We start from the raw sequence: 11713 nt of genomic DNA, 5'->3' as shown, positions 1-11713 counted from the left end.
GCCGGCAGGCGGTGCTCGTCACCCGTTGGAGAGGATGAATCCTCGAGATGGGCGTGCCGAAGGGAACGTGACTTGCAGACGCAGAGAGCGCACCTGAGTCACAAATGACTCCCTATTAATGAGTCCGAGGATCATCGCCTCGGTGTCTGCGGTGCATCCTGGAGTCCTGACTAACCTCCAGCTACTGCATAAATCACTCCCGTGCGGGGAGATTGCAGCCGGATAGAGCGTTTGGTCGCATTTTAACACCATGCACTGAATTAAAGGAAGGTGTTCTCCCTCCCTCCCTCCCTCCCTTCCTTCTTTCCTTCCTCTCTTCTTTTCTCTCTCTCTTCGCCGGATGGAGCGTTTGGTTGCGTTTTAACACCATACACTAAATTAAAGGAATTCTTTTTTCTTTCTTTTCTGTTCTTTCTTTTCTTTCTTCTTTCTCTTCTTTCTGTCTCTTTCTTCCCCTTCCCTCCCTCCCTCCCTTCCTTCCTTCTTTCCTTCCTTCCTCCCTCCCTTCCTTCCTTCCTCCCTCCCTTCCTTCATCCTTTTCTTTATGTTTTGACAGGGTCTCACTCTGTCACCTAGGCTGGATGGAGTGCAGTTGCACAAACACGGTTCACTGCAGCCTCGACCTCCCAAGTAGTTGGGAATACAGGCGCGCGTTACCACACCCAGCTAATTTTTAATTTGTTTATAGAGGTGGGGGAATCTCCCTATGCTGTCCAGGCTGGTCTCGAACTCCCGGACTCAAGGGATCCTCCCGCCTCCGCCTCCCAAAGTGCTGGGATTACAGGCGTGAGCCACCGCGCCCGGCCTACAATTTTTTTTAATGAAAAAAAGAAAAATGTAAGAGTATGGGAATATATGGGGAAAAGAAAGATCAGATTGTTACTGTGTCTGTGTAGAAAGAAGTAGACATAAGAGACTCCATTTTGTTCTGTGCTAAGAAAAATTCTTCTGCCTTGAGATGCTGTTAATCTGTAACCCTACCACCAACCCTGTGCTTCCTGAGACCTGTGCTGTGTCAACTGAGGGTTAAATGGATTAAGGGCTGTGCAGGATGTGCTTTGTTAAACAAATGCTTGAAGGCAGCATGCGCCTTAAGAATCATCACCACTCCCTAATCTCAAGTACCCAGAGACACAATACACTGCAGAAGGCCGCAGGGACCTCTTCCTAGGAAAGCCAGGTATTGTCCAAGGTTTCTCCTCATGTGATAGTCTGAAATATGGCCTCGTGGGAAGGGAAAGACCTGACCATTCCACAGCCCGACACCTGTAAAGGGTCTGTGCTCAGGAGGATTAGTAAAAGAGGAAGGAACACCTCTGTGCAGTTGAGATAAGAGGAAGGCATCTGTCTCCTGCTCGTCCCTGGGCAATGGAATGTCTCGGTGTAAAGCCCGATTGTATATTCCATCTACTGAGATAGGGGAAAACCGCCTTAGGGCTGGAGGTGGGACATACTGGCAGCAATACTGCTCTTTAAGGCATTGAGATGTTTATGTATATGCACATCAAAAGCACAGCACTTTTTTCTTTACCATGTTTATGATGCAGAGACATTTGTTCACATGTTTTCCTGCTGACCTTCTCTCTACTATTATACCCTATTATCCTGGCACATCCCCCTGTCCGGGAAATGCCTGCTAATGATCAATAAATACTAAGGGAACTTAGAGGCCGGTGCGGGCACGGGTCCTCCGTATGCTGAACGCCGGTCCCCTGGGCCCATTTTTCTTTCTCTACAATTTGTCTCTGTGTCTCTTTCTTTTCCAAGCCTCTCGTTCCACCTGACGAGAAATGCCCACAGGCGTGGAGGGGCAACCCACCCCTTCAGGAATAGATCTTGGTTTCAAGAATAGTTGGATCCTGCAGATAAAACAACGTATTCTAGAACCTTTCTCTCACTCTTGCTCTCAGAGAATTCTAAAACAAATGTGAGAAGTGTGTATGTTTGGTGATTTTGGGTAAACACATGGGAGTTTCTTCATACTATTCTTGTAGATTTTCTGTACATTTGAAATTATGTCAAATTTACAAGTTTTTTTTTTTTTTTTTTTTTTTTTTTGAGACAGAGTCTCGCTCTGTTGCCCAGGCTGGAGTGCAGTGGCACGATCTCGGCTCACTGCAAGCTCCGCCTCCCGGGTTCACGCCATTCTCCTGCCTCAGCCTCCCGAGTAGCTGGGACTACAGGCGCCTGCCACCACGCCGGGCTAATTTTTTGTATTTTTATTAGAGACGGGGTTTCACCGTGTTAGCCAGGATGGTCTCGATCTCCTGACCTCGTGATCCGGCCGCCTTGGCCTCCCAAAGTGCTGGGATTACAGTTGTGAGCCACCGCGCCCGGCTTACAAGTTTTTTTTTTTTAAGGTTGCTATCTCTTTTCATCTGTTGGCTCTATCCCTATGTTTTCTTCCTACTGCTTACTTACGTTATTTTCTATTAGTTTAACCATCCCAGAAGAAAGAGATATTTATCTTTTCCAACAGTTCCAGGGAACAACTCAGGTGAATGTCTCATTAGCATTTTGAGTCATGTGCTCATCCCTGGGCCAGTCACAGTGGCCACAGGGATGGAATGATCTGATTGGCCAGACCTGGTCACATGCCTATTTTTAGAGGCAAGGGGTGGAACCAAATCCCCAATCCTCCAAACCTCGGAGATGGATGGAGAGGGCGGAATCTGTTGCCCAAGGAAAATCAGGATGCTAATGCCCAAGTAGAGTGCCTGGATGCTGGGAAGACAAAAACAACACATAAATAGGCCATCATCTGCACTCTTGATCCCAGAAGCCCTGCTCAAAGGGAGAAGGATTAGGGGACTGAGATGAAGAGGGAGGAGCGGCACCACAGCAGTTAATAAAAAGCAACCTGTTCTGCTTCTCCAAAAAGTAGACGTTTAATAAGGTCATTTGCTCTTGCAGCACAGGACTGACAAGGGACACAACCAGTTCTGTCACAAGAGGCCCATAAACATTCAATGTAGAGGAGGACTAATTTTAAAAGATGATACAATTTTATCGGGATGAGATAAGCACTTTGTTAAGTCAGGCAGCAAAACCTGTCTTTGCTTAGTCAAACCAAGGACCCCCTCATATGAGGGACCCAGAGTATCAGAAGTATCAGCATAAACGCATCTCACTGGTTGAAGCTGGGATGACCCGCCACAGGTCGATTCTCAGTGGACTAAAAGCACTGGCAGAGGATCAGCTTGACTCTAATTCTGTGCTCCCAGACACTCTGAGAGTCTTACTACAATGCATTTTAGTCTTTTATTGTAAAAATATTACATGCTTCTTGCAAAATATTCAAACCATACAGAAGCATATACAGTAAAAAATGAAGGTTTCTCTCTCCCCAGAGTACTGTGACAGTTTGGTCATATAATTATAATAATAATAGTAATAGGGCGGGCGCGGTGGCTGAAGCCTGTAATCCCAGCACCATGGGAGGCCGAGGCAGGCGGATCACAAGGTCGGGAGATCCAGACCATCCTGGCTAACACGGTGAAACCCCGTCTCTAATAAAAATACAAAAAATGAGCCGGGCGTAGTGGCGGGCGCCTGTAGTCCCAGCTACTCGGGAGGCTGAGGCAGGAGAACGGCATGAACCAGGGAGGCGGAGCTTGCAGTGAGCCGAGATCACGCCACTGCACTCCAGCCTGGGCGACAGAGCAAGACTCCGTCTCAAAAAATAAAAATAAAAATAAAAAAATAATAATAATAGTAGCTACAACTTACATAGCACCTCCTCTGTGTTATACACTGTTATAAGCACTTTACACAGATTAACTCATTTTTCCTTCATATTAGAGTGATGTAATATTGTTCCTGTTTTACACAGGAGGAAACAAAGAGGTGAAATAGCTTGCCTAAGATCTCACAGCTACTCAGCGAGAGAATTAACTTTAAACCAGGCAGCTTAACTCCAGAGTACAAATTTTAAAATGTATTCCAGATTTTAAAATGTATATATAATTTTTAAAATTGAGTTGCAATTCACATAACACAATAGCACAATAACACAAAATTAACCATTTAAAGTGAGCAATTCAATGACATTTAGTATCTCCATCTGGTGTGCAAACACCACCTCTATCTACTTCCAAAACATTTCCATCACCCCAAAAGCAAACCCCAAAATCATTAAGCAGTCATTCCTCATTCTCCCCTGGCAAACGCTAACCTGAGTCCTGTCTTTATGATCTATCTATTCTGGGTATTTTATATAAATGAAATCATACTGTATGTGACCTTTTGTGTCTGGCTTCTTTTACTTACAATAATAATTTTTTTTTTTGAGACACAGTTTCGCTCATGTTGTCCAGGCTGGATTACAATGGCGTGATCTCAGCTCACTGCAACCTCTGCCTCCCAGGTTCAAGTGACTCTCCTGCCTCAGTCTCCCAAGTAGTTAGAATTACAGGTGCCCGCCACCACAACCGGCTAATTTTTTGTATTTTTAGTAGAGACAGGGTTTCACCACGTTGGGCAGGCTGGTCTCAAACTCCTGGCCTCAGGTGATCCACCCGCCTCAGCCTCTCAAAGTGCTGGGATTACAGGTGTGGGCCAACGTGCCCAACCAGAATAATGATTTTGAGACTGATACACTTTGTAGCATGACGCATCCTTTTTATAAAAGGATTCATTAAACCATTAAAAGCACTTCATCCCTTCAGCATTTTAATGGCTGAATAATATTTTCCATTGTATTTATATACCACAAATGTGTTCATCCATTCATTCACAGGTGACCATTTGTCTTGTTTCTACTTGTCCTAGTCAAGATCCTCCAGAGAAACAGGACCATAGAATTTTCTGTTTCTATAAAGACATTTATTTTGAGGAACTGATTCACACAATCATGGAGGATGGCAAGTCCCAAATCTGAAGGGTAGGCCAGCAGGCTGGACGCCCTGGGAAGAACTGATGTTGCTGGCAGAATTCTTTCTTGCTCAGACGAGCTCAGTCTTTGTTCTTCTAAGGCCTTCAACTGATCAGGTGAGGCACACCCACACTGTGGAGTGCAACCTACTTTACTCAAAGGCCACACATTTAAATGTTAATCTCATCTAAAACACACCCTCATCTAGAATAGTATTCAATCAAATATCTGGGCACCATGGCCCAGCCAAGTTAACACATAAACTAAACCAACACATCACCTTTTGGCTATAGGAAGACTGCTGTTATGAATATCCATGTACGAGTATTTGAGTCTCTGTTTTCAGTTCTCTTGGGTGTATACCTAGGAGTGGAATTGCTGAGTCGTGTGGCAATTCTATGTTGAACTTTTTGAGGAACTGCCAGACTGTTTCCCACAGCAAATGAACTTTTTATTCTCCCACCAACAACGTACAAGGAAATAAAAAACATCATATTTTAATTTATAAAAATCGAATTATACCACACAAGCTGCAAGGTGGTAGTTCGTTTTTATTCACTTAAGGACATATCTTGGACATCTTTCTGGGTTAGTACATTTAATTCTGCATCTCATAGCAGAAATGCTTAGAACAGGGCCTTTCCAAAGGCAAATGTTATACAAGTGAATGCTATTATTCTTTTTAATAAGTATAGCTTCTTTTTTTTTGAGACGGAGTTTCGCTCTCATCGCCCAGGCTGGAGTGCAGTGGCACGATATCGGCTCACTGCAACCTCTGCCTCCTGGGTTCAAGCAATTCTCCAGCCTCAGCCTCCAAAGTAGGTGGAATTACAGGTGCTTGCCGCCACGCCCGGCTATTTTTTGTATTTTTAGTAGAGACAGGGTTTCGCCATGTTGGCCAGGCTGGTCTCGAACTCCTGACCTCAGGTGATCCACCTGCCTTGGTATCCCAAAGTGCTGGGATTACAGGCATGAGCCACTGAGCCTGGCTAACAAGTATGTATTTTATTTAACAAGTGTAAATTTTTTTTTGAATGAAGTCACTATAATTTATTTATCTCATTCCCCACTGGTAAACATTTCAGTTACTCTCAATTTTCTTTCACTTAAAAAATACTATTCTAGTGGCTGGGCCCGTGGTGGCTCATGCCTGTAATCCCAGCACTTTGGGAGGTTGAGGTGGGTGGATCACCTGAGGTCAGGAGTTCAAGACCAGCCGTTAACATTATGAAACCCCATCTCTACTAAAAATACAAAAAATTAGCCCAGCGTGGTGGTGGTGGACGCCTGCAATTCTGGATATCTGGGAGGCTGAGACCTAAGAATCACTTGAACCCAGGAGGAGGAGGATGCAGTGAGCTGAGATCGCACCACTGCACTTCAGCCTGGGCAACAAGAGTGAAACTCCATCTCAAAAAAAAAAAAAATACTATTACAGGCATTCTTTTTAAAATTTTATTTTTATTTTTATTGAAATTAATAATTTTTTTTCTTTTAGAGGCAAGGTCTTACTCTAATGCCCAGGCCGGTCTCAAATTTTTGGGCTTTAGCAATCCTCCCACCTCAGCCTGCTGGGATTACAGGTGCAAGCCACCAGGCCCCACCAAAAAAAACGTTATTTTTAGAGATAGAGTCTCAATATGTTGTCTAGATTGGACCTGAATTGCTTGGCTCAAAAGATCCTCCTACTCCAGCCTCCTGAGTAGCTGGCACTACAGGCATGTGCCACCACACCGAGACTTTATTTAACTTTTTTTGAGATGGGGTCTCGCTGTGTCTCCCAGGCTAGAGAGCAGTGGCACAATCTTGTCTCACTGGAACCTCCACCTCCCGGGTTCAAGCCATTCTCCTACCTCAGCCTCCCAAGTAGCTGGGATTAAAGGAACCTGCCATCATGCCTGGCTAATTTTTGTATTTGTGTAGAGATGGGGTTTCACCATGTTGGCCAGGCTGGTCTTGAACTTCTGACCTCAGGTGATCCACCTGCCTCGGCCTCCCAAAGTGCTGGGATTACAGGCATGAGCCACTGTGCCTGGCCTACTTAACTTTTTTTTTTTTTTTTTTTTGAGACGGAGTCTTGCTCCATCTCCCAGGCTGGATTGCAGTGGCACGATCTTGGCTCACTGCAACCTCCACCTCCTGGATTCAAGCAATTCTCCTTCCTTAGCCTCCCAAGTAACTGGGATTACAGGCGTGCGCCATCACGCCTGGCTAATTTTTTGTAATTTTAATAGAGATGGTGTTTCACCATGTTGGTCAGGCTGGTTTTGAACTCCTGATTGCAGCTGATCCACCCGCCTTGGTCTCCTGAAGTGCTGAGATTACAGGCGTGAGCCACCGTGCCCGGCCTTAACTTTTTATTATGAGAAATATATACAAGCGGAGAGAACAGGACAACGAATGCCCATGTTCCCTCCATCCAACTACAACAATCAAAAACTTGTAACCTCTCTTTTTCTATTTCTACTCCCCTTCCCTGCCAGACTACTTTGAAGTAAGTTTGAAATGTTATATAATTTCATCTACATATATTCAGTATTTATTTGTAAAAGATAAGGACTCTTTCTTTAAACATAACCAAAATATCAGTATCACACCTAACATAAGTAACAGTAATTCCTTAATGTATACAATTAGCCAGTCAGTGTTCACATTTCCACGAATGTGTCCAACTTTTTTTTTTTTCTTTGAGACGGAGTCTCGCTCTGTCACCCAGGCTGGAGTGCAGTGGCACAATTTCAGCTCACTGTAGCCTCTGCCTCCCAGATTCAAGTGATTCTCCTGCCTCAGTCTCTTGAGTAGCTGGGACTACAGGTGCGTACCACCACATCCAGCTAATTTTTGTATTTTTAGTAGAGATGGGATTCTACCATGTTGGCCAGGATGGTCTGGATCTCTTGACCTCGTGATCCACCCATCTTGGCCTCCCAAAGTGCTGGGATTACAGGCGTGAGCCACCACACCTGGCCGATGTCTCCAACTTTTTAACATTTGGAGTTAACTGAGTCACAGTATGGACAATTGGTTGATCTATCTCTTCAATCTCTTTGAATCTATAGCTCCCCCTTTTTAATTTTTCTTGCATTTTATATATAGAAGAAACTATTATTTGCAATTTTCTTCTCTCTTTTTTTTTTTTTTTTTTGAGACAAGGTCTCCCTCCGTCACCAAGGCTGGAGTGCAATGGCGTGATCTTGGCTCACTGCAACCTCTGCCTCCCCGATTCAAGCAATCCTCTCACCTCAGCCTCCCACGTAGCTGGGCCTACAGGCATGCACCACCATATCTAGCTGATTTTTGTGTTTTTAGGAGAGAAAGGGTTTCACCATGTTGGTCAGGCTGGTCTCCAACTCCTGACCTAAAGTCATTCACCCACCTTGGCCTCCCAGAGGGCAGGGGTTACAGGCATGAGCCACTATGCCCAGACTGCAATTTTAAAGTCATTTTGAAATAGCAAGAACTTCCCCATCAGAGCCCGTGTCTGGTCCGCGTGACACCTGGGTCACTGTGTGAGGCAATCCTCATCTCTCCCCTCAACCTTTCGGTCCCAGCCTTCTCCTGGGCTGTAGCCCCTTCAGGCAGAATCAAACAAACAAACAAATACAATGAATCACTTCAACATTAAATTTGGTCAGTAATTCCTCCTCACTTCCAGAGAAGGCATGTTGAAATTGCTGGGTAGAGAGGAACTCTAGAACTCAAAAACTGACGTTGAAAAGTCATTGTAGGCCGGGCGCAGTGGATCACATCTGTAATCCCAGCAGTGTGGGAGGCCAAGGCAGGTGGATCACTTGAGGTCAGGGGTTTGAGACCTGCCTGGCTAACACAGTGAAACCCTGTCTCTACTAAAAAAAAAAAAAAAAAAAAATTAGCCAGGTGTGCTGGCACATGCCTGTACTCCTAGTACTCAGGAGGCTGAGGCAGGAGAATTGCTTGAACCCGGGAGGTGGAGGCTGCAGTGAGCCGAGATTGCACCACTGCACTCCAGCCTGGGCAGCAGAACGAGACTGTCTCAAAAATAAGTAAATAAATAAATAAAAGTAATTGTAGGCCAGGCACAGTGGCTCACGCCTGTAATCAGCATTTTGTGATGCTGAGGTGGGAGGATCACTTGAGCCCAGGAGTTCAAGCCCAGGAGTTCAAGACTAGCCCTGGCAACATAGCCAGCTCCCATATCTACAAAAACTAGCCAGGTGTGGTGTCACGCACCTGTAGTCCCAGCTATTCGGGAGGCTGAGGCGGGAGGATTGCTTGAGCCCAGGAGTTAGAGGCTGCAGTGAGCCGTGATCGTACCACTGCACTCCAGCACCTTGGAGACAGAGTGAGACTCTGTCTAAAAAAAAAAAAAAAAATCACTGTAGTGGGTTAAATAGTGGCCTCCCTTGAAAATCTGTGTTCATATCCTGTCCCCCAGAAACTATGAATATGACCGTATTTGGAGAAAGGGTCTTTGCAGATCTAATTAAGTTAAAGATCCCTAGATCGATGAGATGATTCATGATTACTGTGCCCTAAATCCAATGACAAATGTCCTTAGGAGAGACACATGGGAGAGAAGTCCATGTGAACACAGAGGCAGATACTGGAGGGATGTGGTCGCAAGCCGAGGAATGCTGACAGCCAATCAGAGGCTGGAAGGGAAAGGACAAAGTCTTCACTAGTCCCCCTAGAGAATGCACAGTCCTGCTGACACTGTGATTACAGACTTCTGGCCTCCAGCACCCTGAGAAACAGGAAGCTAATACAATGAGAAAATCAGGGTCCTGGCTGGGGAAGGAGTTTTGGGGAAACAGAGCCCTCGAATTTATACCACATAGACAGTTTTTCCCCCAACCACCTGTTGGGTGAACCCAGGCAGGAATATTCACTTCCTGCCCTGGTCACGTATAAACCAAACTGCTTTCTTTATAAAGCATCAGAGTAGGGGGCACAACAGAGCCTAAGGTCCCCAAGCTCATGCCAGATCAGCCCGGCAGGTGTGTCGCCAAGTTCTTTCAATTCACCCTTTCTGTGCAGTAGTGTCACCTCACAGCCAGGAGAAGAAGGAAGCTACCAGAAGTCTGGAATCACAGCTGGGCACTGTGACTCACGCCTGTAATCCCAGCACTTTGGGAGGCCGAGGCAGGTGGATCGTGAGGTCAGGAATTGGAGACAAGCCTGGCCAACATGGTGAAACCCCGTCTCTACTAAAAATACAACAATTAGCCAGGCATGGTGGCGGGTGCCTGTAGTCCCAGCTACTCGGGAGGCTGAGCCAGGAGAACTGCTTGAACCCGGGAAGTGGAGGTTGCAGTGAGCAGAGACCGCACCACTGCACTCCAGCCTGGGTGACAGAGTGAGAGTCTGTCTCAAAACAAAACAAAAAAAATGAAACAAAACAAAAAAAGAGTCTGTAATCATTTCTTGGGTGGTTCATTTATTTATCTGACACATACTTATCGAGTAGCCCTTTGGTGCCAGGCATTGGGCTACGTACTGGAGAAACACATGTAAATCATTACAATGCTGCATGGTAAGTGTGAGGATGGCCGAAATGGCCCAGAGAAGCGGGCTTGACCCAGACTAAAGAAAGAGAATCACAGAAGGCTTCAGAGCTGTGGGGAAGTGAGGTCTACCAAACTTCTGATATGGTAGCCACAAACCATCTGTGGCTTTTACATTTTATTTATTTATTTATTTTATTTTATTAAAAAAAGTTTTTTGAGACAAGGTCTTTCTGTGTCACCCAGGTTGGAGTGTAGTGGCGCAATTACGGCTCACTGCAGCCTCGGCCTCTCAGGCTCAAGTGATCCTCCCAGCTCAGCCTTCCAAGTAGCTGGGACTACAGGTGTGTGCCACCACACCCAGCTAAATTTTCCTAGTTGTTATAGAGATGGGGTCTCACTTTGTTGCCCAAGCTGGTGCATTTTAAGTTAACCAAAATTAAATTATAGTGTGTGTGTGTGTGTGTGTGTGTGTGTGTGTATTTTTTGTTTGTTTTTTTGTTTGTTTTGAGATGGAGTTTCACTCTTGTTGCCCAGGCTGGAGTGCAATGGCGCTATCTCGGCTCACTGCAACCTCTGCCTCCTGGCTTCAAGTGATTCTCCTGCCTCAGCCTCCCGAGTAGCTGGGATTACAGGTGCCTGCCACCACACCCGGCTAATTTTTATATTTTTAGTAGAGATGGGGTTTCACTATGTCGGCCAGGCTGGTGTCGAACTCCCGACCTCAGGTGATCTGCCTGTTTTGGCCTCCCAAAGTGCTAGGATTACAGGGGTGAGCCACTGCGTCAGGCTGGAACTGAGTTTTTAATATTACTTAATTTTAGGCCAGGCCTGGTGGCTCACGCCTGTAATCCCAGCACTTTGGGAGGCCAAGGCTGACGGATCACCTGAGGTCGGGAATTTGAGACCAGCCTGCCCAACATGGAGAAACCCTGTCTCTACCAAACATACAAAATTAGCCGGGCGTGGTGATGCATGCCTGTAATCCCAGATACTTGGGAGGCTGAGGTAGGAGAATAACTTGAATCCGTGAGGCGGAGCTTGCGGTGACCCAAGATCATGCCATTGCCCTCCAGCCTGGGCAGCAAGAGCCAAACTCTGTCTCAAAAAAAAAAAAAGGTCGGGTGCGGTGGCTCCCACCTGTAATCCCAGCACTTTGGAAGGCCGAGGCGAACGGATCACGAGGTCAGGAGATTGAGACCATCCTGGCTAACACGGTGAAACCCCGTTTCTACTAAAAATACAAACAATTAGCCGGGCGTGGTGGTGGGCACCTGTAGTCACGGCTACTTGGGAGGCTGAGGCAGGAGAATGGCGTGAACCCGGGAGGCGGAGCTTGCAGTGAGCCGAGATGGCG

At 46.0% G+C, this 11713-nt stretch overlaps 2 annotated features.

The window, feature by feature from the left end:
• Nucleotides 505-1366: an enhancer, noted in NCBI's record as "OCT4-NANOG-H3K27ac hESC enhancer chr12:123235867-123236728 (GRCh37/hg19 assembly coordinates)". NCBI's record gives its function as "activates a minimal SCP1, AML or CMV promoter by ChIP-STARR-seq in naive and primed H9 embryonic stem cells {active_cell/tissue: H9 hESC(naive and primed)}" and the evidence as "EXISTENCE:reporter gene assay evidence [ECO:0000049][PMID:30033119]".
• Nucleotides 2470-2764: an enhancer, noted in NCBI's record as "tiled region #1215; HepG2 Activating non-DNase unmatched - State 8:EnhW, and K562 Activating DNase unmatched - State 8:EnhW". NCBI's record gives its function as "activates a minimal TATA promoter and a strong SV40 promoter by Sharpr-MPRA in HepG2 and K562 cells {active_cell/tissue: HepG2 | K562}" and the evidence as "EXISTENCE:reporter gene assay evidence [ECO:0000049][PMID:27701403]".

Source organism: Homo sapiens, chromosome 12, assembly GCF_000001405.40.
Source record: "Homo sapiens chromosome 12, GRCh38.p14 Primary Assembly".
Taxonomy (NCBI): Eukaryota; Metazoa; Chordata; class Mammalia; order Primates; family Hominidae; genus Homo; species Homo sapiens.
The sequence above is the reverse complement of the archived record's forward strand: the minus strand, read 5'-3'. Positions and strand labels throughout refer to the sequence as shown.